Source organism: Homo sapiens, chromosome 1 (genome assembly GCF_000001405.40).
Source record: "Homo sapiens chromosome 1, GRCh38.p14 Primary Assembly".
NCBI classification, from domain to species: domain Eukaryota; kingdom Metazoa; phylum Chordata; class Mammalia; order Primates; family Hominidae; genus Homo; species Homo sapiens.
Window position 1 is genome coordinate 246785853 of NC_000001.11, and position 20127 is coordinate 246805979.

Consider the following 20127-nt stretch of genomic DNA (forward strand, 5'->3'; position numbering starts at 1 on the left):
CCTTCCCCGTGGATCCTCACCTCCTGAGTCCCGTCCCCATGGATCTTCACCTCCTGAGTCCCGTCCCCGTGGATCCTCACCTCCTGAGTCCCATCCCCATGGATCCTCACCTCCTGAGTCCCATCCCTGTGGGGCCTCACCTCGTGAGACCCGTGGTGGGTCACCTTCACCAAGACCTCCTTCTGTAGGTCATAGCCCCTGGAATCTGACGATGCCAAATTTTTCACCTTCAATTCCATGTTAAGTCCCTGGTAAAAGAAACACTTCTCACTAAATAATTGTACATTCTGCTGGGCACAGTCCCTCATGCCTGTAATCCCAGCACTTTGGGAGGCTGAGGCGAGTGGATCGCTTGAGCCCAGGAGTTCAAGACCAGCCTGGGCAACATAGCAAAACCCCATCTCTACTAAAAATACAAAAATTAGCCAGGCATGGAAGTGCACACCTGTAATCCCAGCTACTTGGGAGGCAGAGGTGGGAGGATCACTTGAACCCGGGAAGTGGAGGTTGCAGTAAACCATGATTGCACCACTGCATTCCAGCCTGGGCGGCAGATTGAGACCCTGTCAAAAAGAAAAAAAAAATCCTACATTCACAGCTCATACCACCTTTGCAATTTATTTTTCATTCTCCCACCCTCGGGCTTCCTAAATGATGAATGAATAAGACTCTCTCTAAGATGTCCCACTCTTGCCCCTTGGATTTCCCACTAAGAGGAAAGACAGAGCACCAGATTTTCTCCATTATATCCTGGAACTAACACTTGGAGTCCCTACCAAATTGATTAAATCTCTTACAAGGTTCCGGCCGATGGGAGCTCACGTCTCCAGGGAGCTGTCCCCAGCCCAGGTGGTCTGTGTGGCACAGCAGCCATCAGGGTGCCTAGACCCGGAGAGGCCCCAGGACCATCTGGGAGGGCCTGCTCATGGCCAGCAAGAGTTGGTCTGGGATCCCGGTGGCCCTGGTAGGCTGTTGGTGAAAGGAATGGTACTCGGGCCTGGGCTGGGCAGTCTGGCTTCTGTGGCTAGTTCCCTGAGAGTCCCTGGGAACGCACCCCTGCCCCACAAGGCCTTGAGGTCCTTTCTGCACCTGGCACACCAGCTCCTGGCTCCAGCTAACTTACCTTCTTTGGCTCTTCACTCATTTGATTTGCTTCTGAACCAGCGGCATCAGTTTGATGTAGTCCTGGAACGCAGCCAGGACACTGGGGCCCGCCTTGCCGTCTCCACCGTCCGCAGCACCTGGCAACAATCACAGTGGAGGCGAAAGTCAGTCACTTGTTCCGCCATGAAGAATTTTTTTTTTTTTTTTTTTTTGAAATAGAGTTTCACTCTCGTTGCCCAGGCTGGAGTGCAGTGGCGCCATCTCGGCTCGCTGCAACCTCTGCCTCCCAAGTTGAAGCAATTCTCCTGCCTCAGCCTCCTGAGTAGCTGGGATTACAGGTGCGCACTACCACACCCGGCTAATTTTTGTATTTTTAGTAGAGATGGGGTTTCACTATGTTGGCCAGGCTGGTCTCGAACTCCTGACCTCAGGTGATCTGCCCACCTCGGCCTCCAAAAGTGCTGGAATTACAGGCGTACAGGCATGAGCCACCATGCCAAGCCCTTTTTCTTTTTTTTTTAGACAGCTGTCTTGCTCTGTCGTCCAGGCTAGCGTTCAGTGGCATGATCTCTGCTCATTGCAGCCTCCACCTCCCAGACTCAAGCAATCCTCCCATCTCAGCCTGCTGAGTACCTGGGACTACGGGTGCAAGCCACCATGCCTGGCTAATTTTTAAAATATTTTGTAGAGATGAGGTCTCACTTTGTTTCCCAGGCTGGTCTTGAACTCCCAGGTTCAAGCGATCCTCCTGCCTTGGCCTCTCAAAGTGCTAGGATTACAGGCATGAGACACCACGCCCAGCCGCCATGAATAAATGTGTATGCTTATTTGTTCATTCATTTGTTCAGCTGTTCATCAAATATCTACATTTTAAAATTACAAGCATGTAATTTAAAAACAAACAAGGGAAAATGACACTGCCTGGCTTCTCCTTACGTGGTTGCTTATCTCGACCCATGAATCCTGGCCGCAGGCAGGAGGTCCTCTGCCCCCAGTTCCCATTCTTGGTCTCAGGGTCCTTGACCCAAGGTGGCTCCAGACTGGAGGAGGGTGGGGCGAGGTGAAACATGGCTGGCTAGACGGAAGGCCTGGAGGTATCCTCAAGCTGCTGCTGGCACAGCAAGTGACCTGTGCTTCTCTTATACTTGGGGTGGCTTGAAGGAGGGGCTCGTGGAGATTATGGGAGGATCAATCTCCCTCCCAAACCCAGGCTGGTACTGCCTCTAATCAGGAAATCTCAACTCTTAGAGACCCCTGGCCTGTGGGTGCACACAGTGCCCTTGGCCCTGAGGTCTGACCCCAAACTGCTCACACAGCTGCTGCCTTGTTGGGGACCCAAGTCTTCCCTAGGGTCCGAGCCAGGGTCTGGGGCTGGTTCAGCTTCATGGCGCCACCAGGGCCACAGGGGCAGTGGCACGGTCAACCTCTGAGGACAGGTCAATGAACAGATGGCTTTTCCGGGCCTGGTATGACAGAGTCTTACTGGTTCGTTGTTTTGTTTTGTTTTGTTTTGTTTTGAAATGGAGTCTCGCTCTGTCACCCAGGCTGGAGTGCTGTGGCACGATCTCAGCTCACTGCAACCTCCTCCTCCCAGGTTCAGGCAATTCTCCTGCCTCAGCCTCCTGAGTAGCTGGGACTACAGGTGTGTGCCATCACATCCGGCTACTTTTTTGTATTTTTAGTAGAGACGGGGTTTCACTGTGTTAGCCAGGATGGTCTCGATCTCCTGACCTCGTGATCTGCCCGCCTCGGCCTCTCAAAGGGCTGGGATTACAGGCGTGAGCCACCGCGCCCGGCCTTGTTCATTTTTAAAAGTCGAAAACTTCAGCAGAAGAAGAGCAAGGAGGTGAATTTCTAATCGATTTATTTTGCTGAAATTCTGAGAGAAACACTGTGGTGTGGGGACAGGGAGGAGCTCTTGCACACACACAGGTGGATCTGCCCACTTTCCACCAGCGGTTTCATTACTGCGAGTTCAGGCAGAGTCCCGGTGCCGAGCAAAGCGTGGGGCCCCTCCGGGAAGCCCGCAGGTCACTCAGATCGCAGCGGGCTCCGGCCTGGCCAGGATTCTGGGGGAGCCGCCCGGAGCGCGGTGAATCGGGGCGGGGAGAGGGGCGGGGAAGGCGCGCGAAAGCCCCAGCAGAGACCGGCAGCGGCGGGCGGCCCGCGTGGGCTACTGCTGGGGGCTGCGTTCGGGCGAGGAGGGGAGATTCTGTCTCAGAGGCCTCGGGCTGCACGTTCTTCCGGGCCGCGCATTTGCAGCCCACAGCAGGCCCCAGCCGGCCCCTCTGGAGTTGGGCCACTGCTTCTGCAGGCCCAGCAGGCCCCTGGGGGCGGCCGGAGGCCACTAACTGGCTTCTCCAGCTCAGCATTCTTCTCTCATTTGCTGGGTACCCCACTCTCTTCTCTACCCCTTTGAACCATCTTTACCCTCATTCCTCAGGGAACGTTTAACGAGTTGAATGTTTACCATGTAGTCACTCTATATGGAAATCATAATTCAATTTTGTAAACATCAGACTTTGACAAAACAAATGATGATGTTCTTAAGGAAAGCAGAGAGACACAGTGTGAAATCGCTGCTCTCAGATCAGCACACGGGAGAGGCCAGCAGTCAGGAGGGGGCTCACCGAGTTTGTCTGCACTCGCTCCCTCCGCAGCCGCCCTCTCCAGCTGGAAGAAGTCGTAATCGAACCTGCTCAGGTCCTCACTGCCCCACTCCGAAGGAAACCCCACGTACAGGTAGGTGCTGTTGGATCCCAAAATCAGGCGGTCCTGGGGAGGAGACGGTGGGCTCAGGAGGGGTTCGAGGCCAAGGAGGGTGAGGTGAACCTCCCCAGTGAGAAGGATCTGAGGAATGTCCTCCCCTCAGGAATCCCCCAGACAGGGAGAGACGCAGACAGGAGGGAGGTGGCCTCTGGCTCCTGCGTTCACCTTCATTGCACACATTGAGGGCGTGACTCCCTTGGCCCTGGGGTTCTGTGGGGACCACCCAGAGCCAGGCCCTCCCTCCACGCTTTCCAGGCTGGTCTGGGTGAGTGCAGCAATGGCTGCAGGGGACACCAGGACCTAACTCAGACTACAGGCTACAGACGGCCTTTTCCGAGGCGTGATGCCCAAGCTAAGCCCTCCTGGGCGGTAAGTCTTGGTGAGGCAGAGACGGCTGCTGAACAACCAAAAGAAGGGCAGTGTGGCCAGGGACAGGAGGCCGAGGGAGGTCACTGAGGGGGCTTTCCAAATGGGGAGCGGCCAATCCCCATCTGCCTGTCCTGTCTGAAAGGCTGTGGCCACCAGGGAGGGGAGAGGGCTGCTGGGAAGCTGGCAGGGGCCCCAGGGTTGGCAGATTGGGGAGGAAGAGGCAGCGATGTTTGCAAGATGCTGTTCAACCCCTCTCAGTGACAGGCTCTTAGAAAAATCTAAAATGGCACAAAATGTTAGAGCTGGAAGGGACCTTGGAGAACACCTAGTTCAGCCCTCCTTGTTTTCCAGGTGAGGTCAGAGGAGTGAAGTGACTTGCCCAAGACCACACAGTGAGTCAGGAGCAGGCCTGTCCCTCCAGCAGTGGTGCCATGTTGTCCCCAAGCCATGGTGGCAGAGGAGCTGGTGTGAACGCCCCATCCTGCCACGTCTGTGATGTGGGCACCTCACATGACTGTCCCCTCCCAGCTCTTGGGGGGGACCTAGGACATTCTGTGAGCCTGCAGGAAAGTTTACCAAATGCTGCAGCTTTGTCCTGGTGGTGATGGGCACCCCGTTAACGGCAACCTTGCATTTGCTATGTGGAGTGACCGTCACTTTACCGTCGGCATTTGTGAAGGAAGCGTGTTTATCTGAAATTCTAAGAAGATGAGAGTCAAAGACACCCAGCAAACGGCGGTTTCCGTGAGCAGGTAGGCTGACCTTTCTCATGTGCACAGGAGGGAAGGTCTACAGCTGCGGAGGATGGCAGGTGGCATCTCGGGGCCTCCTGTGTGCTGTGGCCCATGATGCATGGGGACAGCAGCGGGCGCAGAAGGACCCTGCCCTTGGGGAGCACGGGGAGCTGGGAGACAGCAGGCAAGGGCTTCATTAACAGAACGAACACCAGCTGAGGGCCTAGCACTGCGGGGAGCCGGCCAAGGCCACACTGGAGTCCTCCCGCTCCCAGGCCAGCGGGATGGGGTGGTGGGAAGATGGCAGCAAGCAAGCTTCAGAAGAGACGCTCAGGAGGCGACTCTTAACGAGCCTCACCTACTCCGGGTACGTTTTGATCTGTTTCTGCGCCCTCGCCGTATAAATTCAGACCTTATAGGATTTGGGGCTGGACGTCGGGGTGTCAGGTTGGCATCCCCTCTCCCCGCCCTGCTCCCCTGCACCGATGTCATCTGTGTGTCCTGAATGACTGGCTCCCTGCCTTAGCATGTTCCATGTTCCTGCACTCCTTGGCCATCATGGAATGTTCTGGATGTGGAGACCCGTGTGCATCCAAACCCTTTTTTGCATGGGGCCCAGGGATCCTGTGGGAAAGGTTGCGGCCTCATCACTGGAGTTCAGACATTTACGCACCTGTGCGTTGGACTAAGGACGTGTTCTGGAAAGGGACTTGAGGGGGATCCCCAGGAAGATGTCCCAAGAAGGAGGCTGGCAGTGCAGGACGAGGCGGGGCCAGCCGGCCCCTGGGTCAGCACCCCTCCAGCCACGACGGCCCGTGGGCTTTCGTACGGGGGCAGGGGGTGATCTGTCTGAAGGATGTAGGTGATGGTGCTTCCCAGCTGGAGAGCTGGAAGCAGGAGGAGGACACTCCAGCAGCAGCCTCCCAGGCAGGGCAGCCACAGAGCTGGGGACAGCTCTTGACTGGGTGAGGCCCGGCATGGGGTTTCCCAGGGCTCCTGCGGGGCCTCCTGAGGGAGCCCTTGGGGTCACTCCACAGTCTGGGCTTTCTGTAGTCCGGTGGGTCAGGGCTCCAAGCACCAGGAGAGATCCAGGGATGCGCTTATGTTTGGGCCACCCCCGGTGGGCTTGTTCGTTCAGCCCCCTTCGTTTCCTGGCCTGCTCTACTTATATCTGTTTGTGAAGAATTATTACACAGAATCTAGAAACCAGCTTTCCCTTTTCTCCCAGGGTTGGAGCCCAGGAAGCAAACCAGCACTGCACCCTAGATTTCAGCCAGAGGACGAAAGCCCTGCCCTCAGCTTTCTCAGACCAGCCCTGGAGTAGGTGGCCCGGGGAGACCTGGGCAGTGTCCCTGCTTGTCCTGCAGACTGTGTGGCTCTGCAGACCTCTAGATGGAGGAGGCACAATTCTCTAATGCTGGACGAGGACACTGATCATGGAAACTCACCCCAAACCTTGAATCGTGATAGCATTTGAGGCAGCCTGACCGGTGCCACATGAACCTGAAAGGAATCAAGATATAATTTATTTTGAAAATAAATCAGACACTTTCAGAATTTGAGCGTAAGAAGTTAACATGTCTGATGCGTTGGAAGTGACGTTTTCTCTACAGTGGGATGGTACTGAAGGGATTTTTCCAGTTGGGATTTTCAATCATAATGGTACTTAGACATACTTTTCTTTCTGCCTTGTGTGTGGGGGGAAGAGCGGGGATGTTCCTAACTTTTAAAAAGTTCCACCTTCTTCATGAGCATTCTGGAGGAAGACACCATTAGGTCTGGGCCTTAGGAGACCCACTGAATACTGGCCACAGCAGAGGTTCTGGTGTTTGAAGCTCCGTTTCTGTGTAGTGACTGACCCCAAGGAGTGCAGACATGTCACCCCCCACATCCCCACATCCCACGGCCATCTCGCACGGAGCCCTCGCGGCCGCCCTGGGGGGTGCACGGAGCCCTCGCGGCGGCCCTGGGGGGTGCACGGAGCCCTTGCGGCCGTCCTTGGGGTGCTCGGAGCCCTCGCGGCCGTCCTGGGGGTGCACGGAGCCCTCGCGGCCGTCCTGGGGGTGCACAGCCGGGGAGGGGAAGCCAGGGGCTCCTGCGGTTCTGGGCGCTGTGTTCCAACCTGTTCAGCACTCATTTAGGTCAGGAAGACAATTCAACAGCTGATGCCCTCCTCAGAAACCGCTAAACAAAAATGTAACAAGAACGATGCCAGGATAATAGATGAATAAAACGTGCTGTATACATCCGAGGGAATGGTTTTCAGCCTTCAAGAGGAAGGAAATTCTCACACATGCTACATGGATGCACCTTGAGGACATTCTGCTGAGGGCATAAGCCAGTGAGAGATGGATGAAAAGGTCCTTATCTGAGGTCCCCCATCGTCAAATCCACAGAGACAGAAGGTGGGACACTGGCTTCCAGGGCTGGAGGGGGAGGGGTTATCTGAGGTCCCCCCATTGTCAAACGCACAGAGACAGAAGGTGGGACAGTGGCTGCTGGACTGGAGGGGGAGGGGTTATCTGAGGTCCCCCCATCCTCAAACACACAGAGACAGAAGGTGGGACACTGGCTCCCAGGGCTGGATGGGGAGGGGTTATCTGAGGTCCCCCCATCGTCAAACGCACAGAGACAGAAGGTGGGACACTGGCTCCCAGGGCTGGAGGGGGAGGGGTTAGCTGAGGTCCCCCATCCTCAAACACACAGAGACAGAAGGTGGGACAGTGGCTGCTGGTCTGGATGGGGAGGGGTTATCTGAGGTCCCCCCATCGTCAAACGCACAGAGACAGAAGGTAGGACACTGGCTCCCAGGGCTGGAGGGGGAGGGGTTATCTGAGGTCCCCCCACTGTCAAACACACAGAGACAGAAGGTGGGACAGTGGCTCCCAGGGCTGGAGGGGGAGGGGCAGCTCCCGTTTCATGGGTACAGAGTTTCCGTCTGGGAAGATGAAAATGTACTGCAGATGGATGGTGGTGATGGTCACACAATATGAATGTACTTTATGCCACTGAGCTGTACTCTTAAAATGGTTCAAATGAACTTTATGTATATTTTACCAAAATGAAAAATATTTAAAAAACAAGAAAGAAAAGAAACATGCCTGTGGGGCAAGAAGCATGGGAAGGGCGGGGACGGGGGGAGGGTAGGGGAGGGCGGGGTGGGGAGAAGGCAGGGCAGGGGCAGGGGGAGCACAGGGGGAGGGCAGGGTGGGGAGAAGGCAGGGCGGGGGCAGGGAAAGGAAGGGGGAGGGGAAGGACACGGAAAGGGAAGGGGGAGGGGAAGGGCAGGGAGGGGAGAGCAGGGGCAGGGGGAGGGCAGGGTTGGGGCAGGGGAAGGCAGGAGGGTGGGGTGGGGAGAGGGCAGGGCGGGGGCAGGGGGCCGGCTGAGTACCAGCTTGAATGAAGTACTTGAGCACCCTGGTGAGCTGAGGGTCCTCGCTGAGGTTAAGAAGGTGAGGGAAGGTCATCATCTGCCGCTCCTGCAGGAGAAGTGGAGAGGGTTGGGTGTCACCAGTCCGCACCAGCCCACTGGGGAGAGCAACACTTCTTTCCCGTCTCTGTGCACCTTGTCAACCCTCCTGGGGAGGGAGGAAAGCTGAGAGGGGCTGGGGCATTGCTGATGGTGGGGTGGAGTCTCAGGCAGGCCAGCCGTCAGGAGTCTGAGTACATCTGGACTGGACAGTTCCAAGGAGCTGTCTCCCGGCTGCCCTCCCCAGCTGTCTGCATGCCCCGCTCTGGTCCCCTGCCTGGGCAGCCCCTCCCCATGTCTCCATGCAGCCTCTCATTCTCCCGAAGTGCTGCTGGCTGGCTGAGAATCAGATGTTGATGGCAAAAAGTGGGGTATGGCACGAACCCTCGCCTGGCAACCTGAACATGTCATTCGTCCACACAAGGATTGTTGTGGCGTAGGGATTTGACAGTAAACAGAACGGGGATGATTATGCAGCCACGAGGAAGACTTTTACAGCTTGAAATCCTCTCTGACAAAGAGTAAAGAGGGCAAAAACCCTTCCAATTTTTACTGTATATGCAGAACCCAAAATCCCGTATTCCTCCATGTGACCTTACTTGACCCTTGAAGCTGAGAGTCCCAGCCACCACTTACACAGAACGTGACTCAGTACAGCCCTAACTGTCTGGTTTCCTGATGCCACAGACCCCACCCTGCTCCACCCCCCAGGCCCTGAGGCCGTAGTTAGGCAGTATGAGGTTCCGGAATCCCCAGCTCCAGTCCCCTAGTACTCCAGGTCTGATCCTCAACTTTGGGATTTTCCCAGGGCCTCGTGGCCACGGGGAGTGGGGTGGGGTGGAAGCCGGGGTGGCCAGGGGAGGCCGAAATTCAATCACAGCCCATTTAGGGTGTGATATCATCAGCGAATGCCAGGATAGACACCCGGCCTTACGCCCTGCCAGGCCCCGAGTCCTCCCCGTTTCCCTCGCTGGCATGCCCTGATGTTCTCTCCCTAGCTCTGCCAGTAGCATCATTACCAGTCACACATTACACATTCACCAAAAAAGCCTCGCCACAGTCGGGCCTGGCCAGCCAGACTGCAGCCTGTGCCTGGCCCCCTGCCCTGGGCTCAGCCTCCGCAGGTGGCGGAGGTGAAGCTCACCTGGGCCCTCTCCAGCAGGTGTGCCCAGGTCACCTGATCAGGAGTCCCCAGCTGCTGCTCTGCCTGGAGACAGGCCGACGGCTCTGGAAGGAGGGAGGCATTTTAAGCGGCGGGTCTGCGGTGCCAGGGGGAGTCACGGGATAGCTAGTGTGTCTCTGGCTCTGTTCTCAAAGCCCAGGATCCCGGCAGCAGCAGGAATGCAGCACACTTATGCGTGAAGACGAGATCTTTCGGTAAGTCCTACAAAGAGGACTTTTAATTCCCCTCCTAATTCGTAAGACGTTAGTGCAAGAAGGTCCTTTAAGGGGGAGGCATGAGTTCAGTGTTCTGTCTCTTATTTTTGTACTTGCTCAGGCTTGTGAGGGCGTTTCATGTGATTCCTTGCTACAGGGAATTGCCATGGGGTCGGGGGATTCGGGAAGAATCATAGGCTTACACTGTTTTCCACATAGTCCGTGTCTGTGCTTGAGAGCAGTGGGGGTTAGGTGCTACGCGTAGGTCCACATCTGGCATGTCCAGTTTTTGATGGTACGGAGATTTGTGACAGGCAGAGCCAGGCCCAGGCCAGTCACACACACGTGTGCACCGATTCTGATTTAGGGAGCGCTTTGTTGAGGCTGAAGCCTCAGCGAGTCGGGTCGTGTGCCTGGGAATGGGCCAGGTGGGGCTCGGGGCTGGCCCACCCTCTGTCTGAGCCTTTGGGTAGCCTGGCATGATGGGTAGGGCATGGGGCGCAGGAGGTTCTGCCACTACTCGAGGGTCCCCAGGAGGGAGGGAGACCGTTCGATATTGCTGCTTTGATACCGGACGTTCATGCCAATTTCACCTCAGTAGTTTTATTTTACCTTTTTTTCATCTCATTTTAAATCATTAATGAGCATAAAACGATATATATCTTTATGCTGCCAAACTGCAATTGAAGGTCTGTACCTATCACAGGGGTTCTCGATAATTGCGCACGTTGGAACCACCTGGGGCCCTTTAGCGCTGACGGCTGCCCGGGATTCTGGTTTCTGAGGTTGGGCGGAGCCCTGTCACCAGGTGGCTGGGATGCACAGCCAGGGTGGAGCTCTGTCTTGCTGGAGGTGGCCAACCCTCCATGGGCTTCCAGCGTCATCTCTCCGCAGGAAGCCCTCAGCGGGCAGACATCAGGTGGCCACTGTCCAAATCTGGTAAGGAAAAACATCCTGGGAGAAAGAATGTTCTCAAAATAAAAATGAGGCTTGTCGCGGTGGCTCACGCCTGTAACCCCAGCACTTCTCGAAGCCGAGGCAGGAGGATTACTTGAGCCCAGGAGATTTGAGGCTGTCGTAAGTGGTGATCACACCTCTGCACTCGAGCCCGGGTGACAGAGCAGACCCTGTCTCAAATACTAAATAAATAAAATGTCAATAAAAATGAGAGTAAGGGCCGGGCACGGTGGCTCAGGCCTGTAATCCCAGCACTTTGGGAGGCCGAGGCGGGTGGATCACGAGGTCAGGAGATGGAGACCATCCTGGCTAACACGGTGAAACCCTGTCTCTACTAAAAATACAAAAAATTAGCCAGGCGTGGTGGTGGGCGCCTGTAATCCCAGCTACTCGGGAGGCTGAGGCAGGAGAATGGCGTGAACCTGGGAGGTGGAGGTTGCAGTGAGCCGAGACTGTGCCACTACACTCCACCCTGGGTGACAGAGCAAGACTCTGTCTCAAAAAAAGAAAAAAAAAATGAGAGTAAGATAACCATCTTAAAATGCAGGGCTATTATTCCTCACAACTGCAAGTGAGTCTACGTTTATCTCAAAGTTTTTTTTTAAAAGGATGGAACCACAATATCCTGGACAAAGCCCCAGTGCTCCCCACTGTGCCCCAGCCACCCCTCAGATTCAAATCCAGGTGCTCCCTCCACCCCCGGCCCCAGGCTTCGGCCAGGTCAGACCCCCCCGTTGCTCAGGGCATCGGCCCCTGACTCGGTTTACCTGACATTATGGAGTTTCTGCATCAGGGCAGCAGCTTGCTGTTCTCCGCCCTTGACTTTCTCATCAGTGTCCAGGTGTTGGCCACTGCTCTGTTCCGGATCTTTTAAGCCCTTTCATGTGCAAAGATGGACACACTCTTAGGCTTGGAGCCCCTTGCTGGAGCAGCAGCACCCCCAGGGCACACTCAGGTCTCCCCCCGCCCCCCTCCCCGCCAGATGACTTGAGATTCCGCACCAGGTCTGGTTCCATTCAACCATTAAGACCAAAGTGACTTGAATCGCCTGCACAGTTCAAATAAACACGTGCAGCTCAGCCAGCCCGGACCTCAGCCCCTGACGTGTCCTGGGACCTGAACACAGTCAGCCAATTGGGCTGACTTGGTTAACCTAAGAACCTGCCCAATCCCTGTGGCTGCTGAAATTAACTCCTGGCCTGGAGGCTGTCCGGAGGCTCAGCTCTGCGCCTGCGCCAGGCTGGGAGGAGCCTCAGAGGTGTTCTAGGTCACTCCTTCCGATGTCGTCAGAGAAAACAGATGCCCCCAAATAGTGCATGGGATATACAGTAAAACATGCCTTGTTCTCTGAAATTTCAATGTAACCAAGCACCTTGTATTTTTATTTGCTAAATCTGGTAACTGTACCCCTTTCGTTTTACACAGGGGAGATGGAATCAGAGTTTACAAGTCCCACGGGCCGCGGGCACCATTTTCTCTTTCCTCTGTATCACATGGTCTCTTGTGTAAAAACTGGGAGCAACAGATTTGCATCTGATAAGCAGGGAGAAAACAAACGTTCTGGATACTGCTTAAGGCAAAATTCGATCTAAAGCTCTGAGCTTGGGCTGGGCATGGTGGCTCACACCTGTAATCCTGGTACTTTGGGAGGCCGAGGAGGGAGGATCACTTGAGTCTGGGAGGTTGAGGATGCCATGAGCCATGATTGTGCCACTGTACCCCAAGCTGGGTGACAGGGTGACACCCTATCTCAGAAAATAAACATAAAACCTGAGCTTGTGTCAGATGCTGGAAGAAAATGCCTCATGGTGTGCCACAATACCGAGGCTGTGCAGTGAGGAATGAGAAGGAAGACATTTGTCACCAACATGCAAGTGTTGCTGTGCTGAGAAGAGGGCCAGAGAAAAGACCAGAACGGGAGGCAGCTCCTGGGTGGCACAGTCATAACCACAGTTCCCAAGCCTCACTCACACACCAGGCAGAACTCTGCTAGGCACAGTTCACACATGACCTCCTGTGGTCCTCTCCCCAGCGCTGTGAATGAGGAATGCTGGCTCAGTGTAACAGGTGATAGGGGAGAGGTTCTATTTCTTGCCCGTGGTCACAGCTGCTAGGGCCAGACTCTGTCTGACCTCTAAGCCCATAGACCTGGTGAATGACATATCAGGGCTGGCAAGTAAGTTTCACCTCACATGCCAACTCCAGCTGCCCAGAACCAGGCCTGACAGTCCCAGTCTCCTGCCCGGACTCGGTGGGGAGCTGGGCTGGTGGATTCCCAAGGCCGGCCTTCGCCTAAGGAGGGGTAGGCAGCATGTGGGGACGGTCCTACCATGGCCACAGACTCTCCTCTCCCCACACCTCCCTTTCTTAGAAGGTTCAGGAGAGCAGACTTGGTACGAGCTGCAGAGGCCGAGGAGCAGGAACTCGGCTTGGTGACAGCCTCCCGTAGTGCTGACCAAGTGGACCTGTCTCCCAGCCAGGTGGGTGGGAAGGAACCTGGCAGTGACAGCCCCTCCCTCCCTGGTGACTCCTGCGGCCATCAGGCCACCTCCACAGACTGCAGTGTGCAGAGTGGACCCTGGGAAGTGCGGTAACTGACAGTGTGGAGAGCTGGTCTGTGCAGGGGCTGCAGGGCTGCCCAGCGAGTGGCTCTGACCGAGGCGCTGTCGCTTACAGAGCTCATCTTCATTTGTCATTAGCACAAAAATCCCCTTGTCTGGCACCACGCCCTGTGTGACAAAAGGAGAAAGCTGTGAATAGCCGTGCTATTCGGCAGGAAAATACAGGGACAGATCAAACCAATCACATCAGGACCAGCATCCGTGCCGCCCCCATCCCTGAGCCCCCAGTTCTGCTCCCATCCAGGACCCAGTGACACAGCCCTGCCCTGAGGCTCCGGGTCTCCATTCTTTCCCTCGTGTTTTAGTTCCTTTCATTCCTCTCTCTCAGGTCGTTTTGTTTTCCTCCTGGACCCCCTTCCCAATGGCAACCCCTGCAGTCTAAGAGCACTGACAGACTTTGCTAGATTTAGAACGTAGAACCACCATGGATGATAAATATTCACAGACGTACCTTTCCGCATATCTCAATGTTGATAGAGTTTCCTCATAGCAGATGTCAGCTGGACTTACGGCTGCGATCTGTGAAAACAGCCCTTTCAGACTTTGTTACTTATAGAGGAGTTTATTGTTATTAAAGCAGCTCGTATTCACAGGGCAGTTTGGCATCTTGTAATTTATGATATTGTTCCAAATTTACAGTTTAGAAATGGTGGCTTAGAGGAATGCCTGAGGCCACTTGCTGAGCTGGGGCTCGAACCCACCCCTGCCTAACTCATACCTGTGCTGCCAGCTGTGAGACTGACCGCCCTTGGGACTGAGTCCTCCGTGGACTCCCTCAGGGGCCTGAGTGACGGTTGAATGTTAGTCTCACAGAGACCTTGCTCGTTTTGTGACAGCCACTTGTATGGTTTCAAGCCTGGCTGTTGACTTTATTTATACTTACATTTTTTTGAGACAGGGTCTCACTCTGTCACCCTGGCTGGAGTGTGGTGGAGCAATCATGGCTCGCAGCCTTGACTTCCTGGGCTCAGGTGGTCCTCCTGCCTCAGCCTCCAGAGTAGCTGGGACTACAGGCATGCACCACCACACTCGGCTAATTTTTGTGTTTTTTGTAGAGACAGGGTCTCTCTGTGTTGCCCAGGCTGGCGTTGAACTCCTGGGCTCAAGGGATATGCCCACCTCAGTCTCCCAAATTGCTGGGATTACAGGTATGAGCCATTGTGCCTGGCCTTGACTTTGGATTGATTGTTCCAGAATTCAGAAAAGTTTTCAACTCAGAAGCAAACTTAGTGATGATTGGGTGGGCAGGTCACTGAGGATGGCTGGGGAGGGTGGCTGAGGGTGGCTGTGGCAGCTGCCATGTGGCAGCACATCCTCTGTGGGCTGGGAGGCCCGGGACCCAGAGCTCTGGGAGCCCAGGAAGTAATTATTTACATTTGTCTAACTTCACAGCTTTTAAAGCTTGTTCGGTTACGCCATCTCATTTAATCATCATGGCAATATTTTCAGGTGGATTTTTATCACCACTAAAAATTAAGGCTGTAAGACATTTGTGTTAAAACTGGGATTGGCGCCATAGAGACTGGAGAGCTTGGCTGTCGGCCTTGCAGGTTCTCTGTTCTCTTTGCTTCTTGAGATAATGGATGCCACCCTCTGCCTCTCCCCAGCCTGCTCCTTTGTTAAAGCTTGCGGGTTCCTGAGATGATGGATGCCACCCTCGGCCACTCCTGAGCACACTCCTTTGTTAAAGCTTGTGGGTTCCTGAGATGATGGATACCCACCCTCGGCCTCTCCCAAGCACGCTCCTTTGTGAAAGCACTGCACTGCCCTCAGGCAGCCCCTGTCAAGTCTTGCAGGTCTGGGCGTCTCGGTGGCTTGGCACACATCTGCTGAGACCCGCTAGGTTGAATGTTGTAGGTTAACGTTCAAAGAGCATCTTACAGGCCTTCTTGTGTCCCAGGTTTTTGGGGAGATGTCCTGTTGAGGCCCACAGGTAACTGACAACCAGAAAAACTTTAAAATGAAGTATTGAAACTGGTCAGGATTGAGTGATAAAGAGTAAGGTTGTGTTTTACTGTGGATTTTGGAGAGAAATGCATGTAACTGGTCCCGACAGGGAGCATTTCTCTCCTAAGCAGGACAGCAGAGTGGAGGCCAGCGCCAGGCTGGGGGCAGAGTTCACCCCATTTTGTCCCTCCCTGCAGCTGAAGCAGAAGAGCAGAGTCCTGATTTTAACACATTCCACACTGTACCCACTTGGCAAACATTCAATAATGGGATTCCAGAGCCTTTGCTGAGATAACGCGGTGCAGCTGCTCTCCAGGGTGAACACACAGTCACACTGATTTCCAGCCTTGCCGGGGATGACTGCTAACTTAGAATAACATGACATTGCTAGTTGTTTTTTTTTTTTTAATGGTACTAGTTTTTTTCCTGATAATAAAAGTAACATATATTCCTTGTAGAGAACTTAAACTACAGAAAAGAATAAATTTAAAAATTAGTAATACAGAAACATTGTTTGAACATTGTACTAGAGTACCAGAAGTTACAAGATAATGGTAGGTCATCATTTGTTAGTCCTGAGGGGGAAACCAAACAAGACCAGGTGCAGTGGCTCATGCCTGTAATCCCAGAACTTTGAGAGGCCGAGGCAGGTGGATCATCTGAGATCAGGAGTTCAAGCCTGGCCAACACAGTGAAAACCCATCTCTACTAAAAAGAAAAAAAAATAGCCAGGTGCATGCGTCTGTAGCCCCAGCTACTCGGGAGGCTGTGGCAGGAAAATCGCTTGAACCTGGGAGGCGGAGCTTGCAGTGAGCCGAGACTGCGCCACTGCACTCCAGCCTGGGCGACACAGCGAGACTCCGTCTAAAAAAAAAAAAAAAAAAAAAAAATTGCTAGGCTAGGTCAATGCAAAGTCCTGTGTTATATGACAGGTGTATTGGGAATAATTTAATCACAACAGCAACAACAACTATAATAGCAGAATCCGTGTGAAATGTTGTAAGAAAAGCTATTTTACCAAAGCGGTTCTGCTGTTCCCACCCAGAGCTGACTGGAGCAGTTTGGTCAGAACAGAATCTCTGTATGGAATGTGCAAGACCTTCTTCCCCATAGCTGCGTCAGCCAGAACACTGAAAGAAAAAGAAGATTCAAGACAGAAAAAGAATGCCTCAAGAAGAAATCCACCTCCCGTGGGATGAGTTGGAAATGGCTCCCACATCCCCTCTTTGGCCCCATAAGCCTGACGATCATATCCAACAGTAGAGATGCCTTCTGTCATCGATGCTGGAGTAAGCTAGCTAACCACGGGCCTGACTCCTCCGAAATCAACCGTAGAGAAGCCATAACCTAGAGGAGGAAGCCCAGGTCTGAGGAACAAACACACCCACACCTGCGAGGAAAACTCGAAGAGCCTGCAGGCTACCATAGTTTGTGTGTAGAGAATGAGCTGCAATTCAAGGAAGGAGGTGCCAGGCCTGACAGTGTGCAGATAGGTTTGGGGGGTAGTTTTAGGGTCTTTTCTTGCCTCTCTCTCTCATGCTGCCTTAAGATCCCATAAAGTTAGGACCACAGCCTCAGGATAGGGGTGAGTGAGAAGCCCCTGCCCTGCTCCAGGGGCCACAAAGAAAGCAGTGTTGGCACTGAAGAGAGCGGGGAAGAGTGCAGGGAAATCCCACCCGTGAGAAATTATAACCACAAACAGGACGGGCACGGTGGCTCAGCCTGTAATCCTGTAATCCCGGCACTTCAGGAGGCTGAGGTGGGCAGATCACTTGTGGTCAGGAGTTCAAGACCAGCCTGGCCAACATGATGAAACCCCGTCTCTACTAAAAATACAAAAAAATTAGCCGGGCGTGGTGGTGCGTACCTGTAGTCCCAGCTACTCGGGAGGCTGAGGCAGGAGAATCCTTTGAACCCAGGAGGCGGAGGTTGCAGTGAGCCAAGATTGTGCCATTGCATTCCAGCCTGGGTAGGGACTCCGTCACAAAAAAAAAAAAAAAAAAAAAAATCACTACTCCATAAAGTCATGAAGGCCAAGGGCTTCCAAAGAGGAGGAAAAGAAATAGGTTTACACTCGGATGCAACAACATAGTGAAACTGGAGAACACCAAAAACAAAGAGAAAAACTTAAAAGCAGCTGGGGAAAAAAGACAGATTATCTTCAAGAAAAAGCAGTTAGACAACCAGTTGACAATAGAATTCTTTCTGTGTGGAAAGAAACTACTACCCATCTAAAATTCCATACCCAGCAAAAATGTCTTTTTAAGAATGAGCCGGCTGGGCGCGGAGGCTCACATTTGCAATCCCAGCACTTTGGGAGACCAAGACGGGAGCATAGCTTGAGCTTAGGAGTTTGAGACCAGCCTGGGCACCGTGGAGAAACCCTGTCTCTACAAAAAAATACAAAAATCATCTGGATGTGGTGGAACACGCCTGTGGTCCCAGCTACTTGGGAGGCTGAGGTGAGAGGATTGCTTGAGCCTGGTGGGGTAGAGGCTGGAGTGAGCTGTGATTGTACCACTGCACTCCAGCTTGGGTGACAGAGTGAGACCCTGTCTCAAAAAAATAAATGAGGTAAAAATAAAGATATTTCAACCTAACAAAAACAGATTGCCACCAGCAGATTATCACTAAAGGAAACCCTGAATAATACACTTCAACCAGAAGGAAACTGATCTTGGATAGCAGCTCTGAGGTACAAGAATGAATACATTTAAAAAAAGATAAATGTGAATGAACACTGTGTAAAACAGTGATAATGTCTTTTGGGTGAAGGAAGAATGGAATTGAAATACATAAGAAAGAAATACATAACAATGACATATGTAGGATGAAGAGTCTTGTATTATCCAGGAGGATTTATTACATTTAGACTTTGACCACAGATTTAAGAGCCAAGAAACAGAGTTAAGTATATATTAGCCGGGCACAGTGGCTCACACCTGTAATCCCAGCACTTTGGCAGGCCGAGGAGGGAGAATCACTTGAGCCCAGGAGTTCGAGATCAACCTGGGCAACGTGGTGAAACCCCATCTCTACAAAAGCTACAAAAATTAGCTGGGCATGGTGGTGCACGCTGTAATCCCAGCTACTCAGAAGGCCGAGGCGGGAAGATCGGTTGAGCCTGGAAGGCAGAGGTTGTAGTGAATGGAGTTCGCGCCATTGCACTCCAGTCTGGGTGACAGAGCAAGACTCTGTCTCAAAAAAAAAAAAGCGAAAAGCATATAGACGATCACTGGGGGAAGGAGGGACTACTCAACAAATGAAACTGGAAAGATTGGTAATCTATAAGGAAAAAGGATGAAAAGGATGCCTACCTTACATCAAACACAGAAATCAACTCCGGACCGATAGGAACTTAATGTAATATAGGTGGTTACCTTTCTAACTCTAATTTTCTTAAACAGGAAACAAATGCAAAGCATAAACCATAATCATAACTTCTGCTCATCAGCAAACACCTTAAAGTGGAAAGACAAGCTACTAACTGGGAGAGATACTTACAATACTTTTACTTGAGAAAAGAATAATATGTAAAGAATGCCTACAAGCCAATACAAAGGCAATGACTCAAGAGAATAATAGAAAAAAATAACAGGCATTGCAAGAGGAAATATATTGCTAAGAAACACATAAAGATGCTTAAACTCGTTAGTAACCAGGAATATCAAGACCATAGTAAGATTTATTTGCACCAATTTAATTGGTAAATATAAAGAAATCTGATAACATCAAGTCTTAGAAAAGATGTAGATCAATCCGATATCTAATACATTGCTGCTGGGAATGTAAATTGGTCCAACTATTTTGGAAAAGTTTGTTAACATCTTTCCAAATTGGGTATTCATACACCTTCTAACCCAACAATTTTAGTTATTGTCTATACTCAAACTTCAATACAGTCATACATCCCATAACCATGTGTTGGTCAACGACAGGCTGTATACACAGCCGTGATGAAAATACCGTATTTTTACTGTATCTTTTCTATGTTTAGATATACAAGTACTTACTGTTATGTTACAGGTGCCTGTGGGATTCAGCACAGTTACATGCTACACTGTGGTATAAGCTCAGCCGGGAGCAATCTTTTACCACAAATAGCTTTGGTGCTCTGTAGGCAACGCCGTCTAGGTTTGCGTAAGTGCACTCTATGATGTTTACACAACAAAACCGCCTACTGATGCATTTCTGAGAACAAATTCCCATTGGCTTTTTGTTTGTTTTGTTTTGTTTTGAGCCAGGGCCTCACTGTGTCACCCAGCCTGGAGTGCAGTGGCATAATCACAGCTCACTGCAACCTCTGCCTCCTGGACTCAAGTGATCCTCCCACCTCAGCCTCCTGAGTAAACAGGACTACAGGCAGGCACTACCACATCTGGCTAATTTTTAAATTTTTTGTAGAGCCGGGGTTTCGCCACGTTACCCATGGTGGTCTCAACTTCCTTGGCTCAAGTAATCTGCCCACCTTGGCCTCCATATTGCCATTGTTTTTGTTGTTGTTGTTTGTTTGTTTTGTTGTGTTTTGTTTTTTTGAGACTGTGTTTCACTCTTGTCACCCAGGCTGGAGTGCAATGGCGTGATCTCGGCTCACTGCAACCTCCACCTACCGGGTTCAAGTGATTCTCCTGCGTCAGCCTCCCGAGTTGCTGGGATTATAGGCATGTACCACCACGCCTGGCTAATTTTGTATTTTTAGTAAAGACAGAGCTTCTCCAGGTTGGTCAGGCTGGTCTCGAACTCCCGACCTCAGGTGATCGACCTGCCTCAGCCTCCCGAA

At 52.5% G+C, this 20127-nt stretch overlaps 1 long non-coding RNA gene across 1 annotated transcript, besides 2 other annotated features; it reads left to right on the forward strand.

Annotated features, from left to right (window-relative positions):
* Positions 3006-3085: a silencer, noted in NCBI's record as "silent region_2038". NCBI's record gives its function as "represses an Ori minimal core promoter by ATAC-STARR-seq in GM12878 lymphoblastoid cells {active_cell/tissue: GM12878}" and the evidence as "EXISTENCE:reporter gene assay evidence [ECO:0000049][PMID:35858748]".
* Positions 3765-5634, forward strand: LINC01341 (long intergenic non-protein coding RNA 1341). The gene is made up of 2 exons (NR_015422.1): positions 3765-3846; positions 4594-5634. It is a non-coding gene; the product is annotated as a long intergenic non-protein coding RNA 1341 (long non-coding RNA).
* Positions 8441-9082: an enhancer, noted in NCBI's record as "H3K27ac-H3K4me1 hESC enhancer chr1:246957595-246958236 (GRCh37/hg19 assembly coordinates)". NCBI's record gives its function as "activates a minimal SCP1, AML or CMV promoter by ChIP-STARR-seq in naive H9 embryonic stem cells {active_cell/tissue: H9 hESC(naive)}" and the evidence as "EXISTENCE:reporter gene assay evidence [ECO:0000049][PMID:30033119]".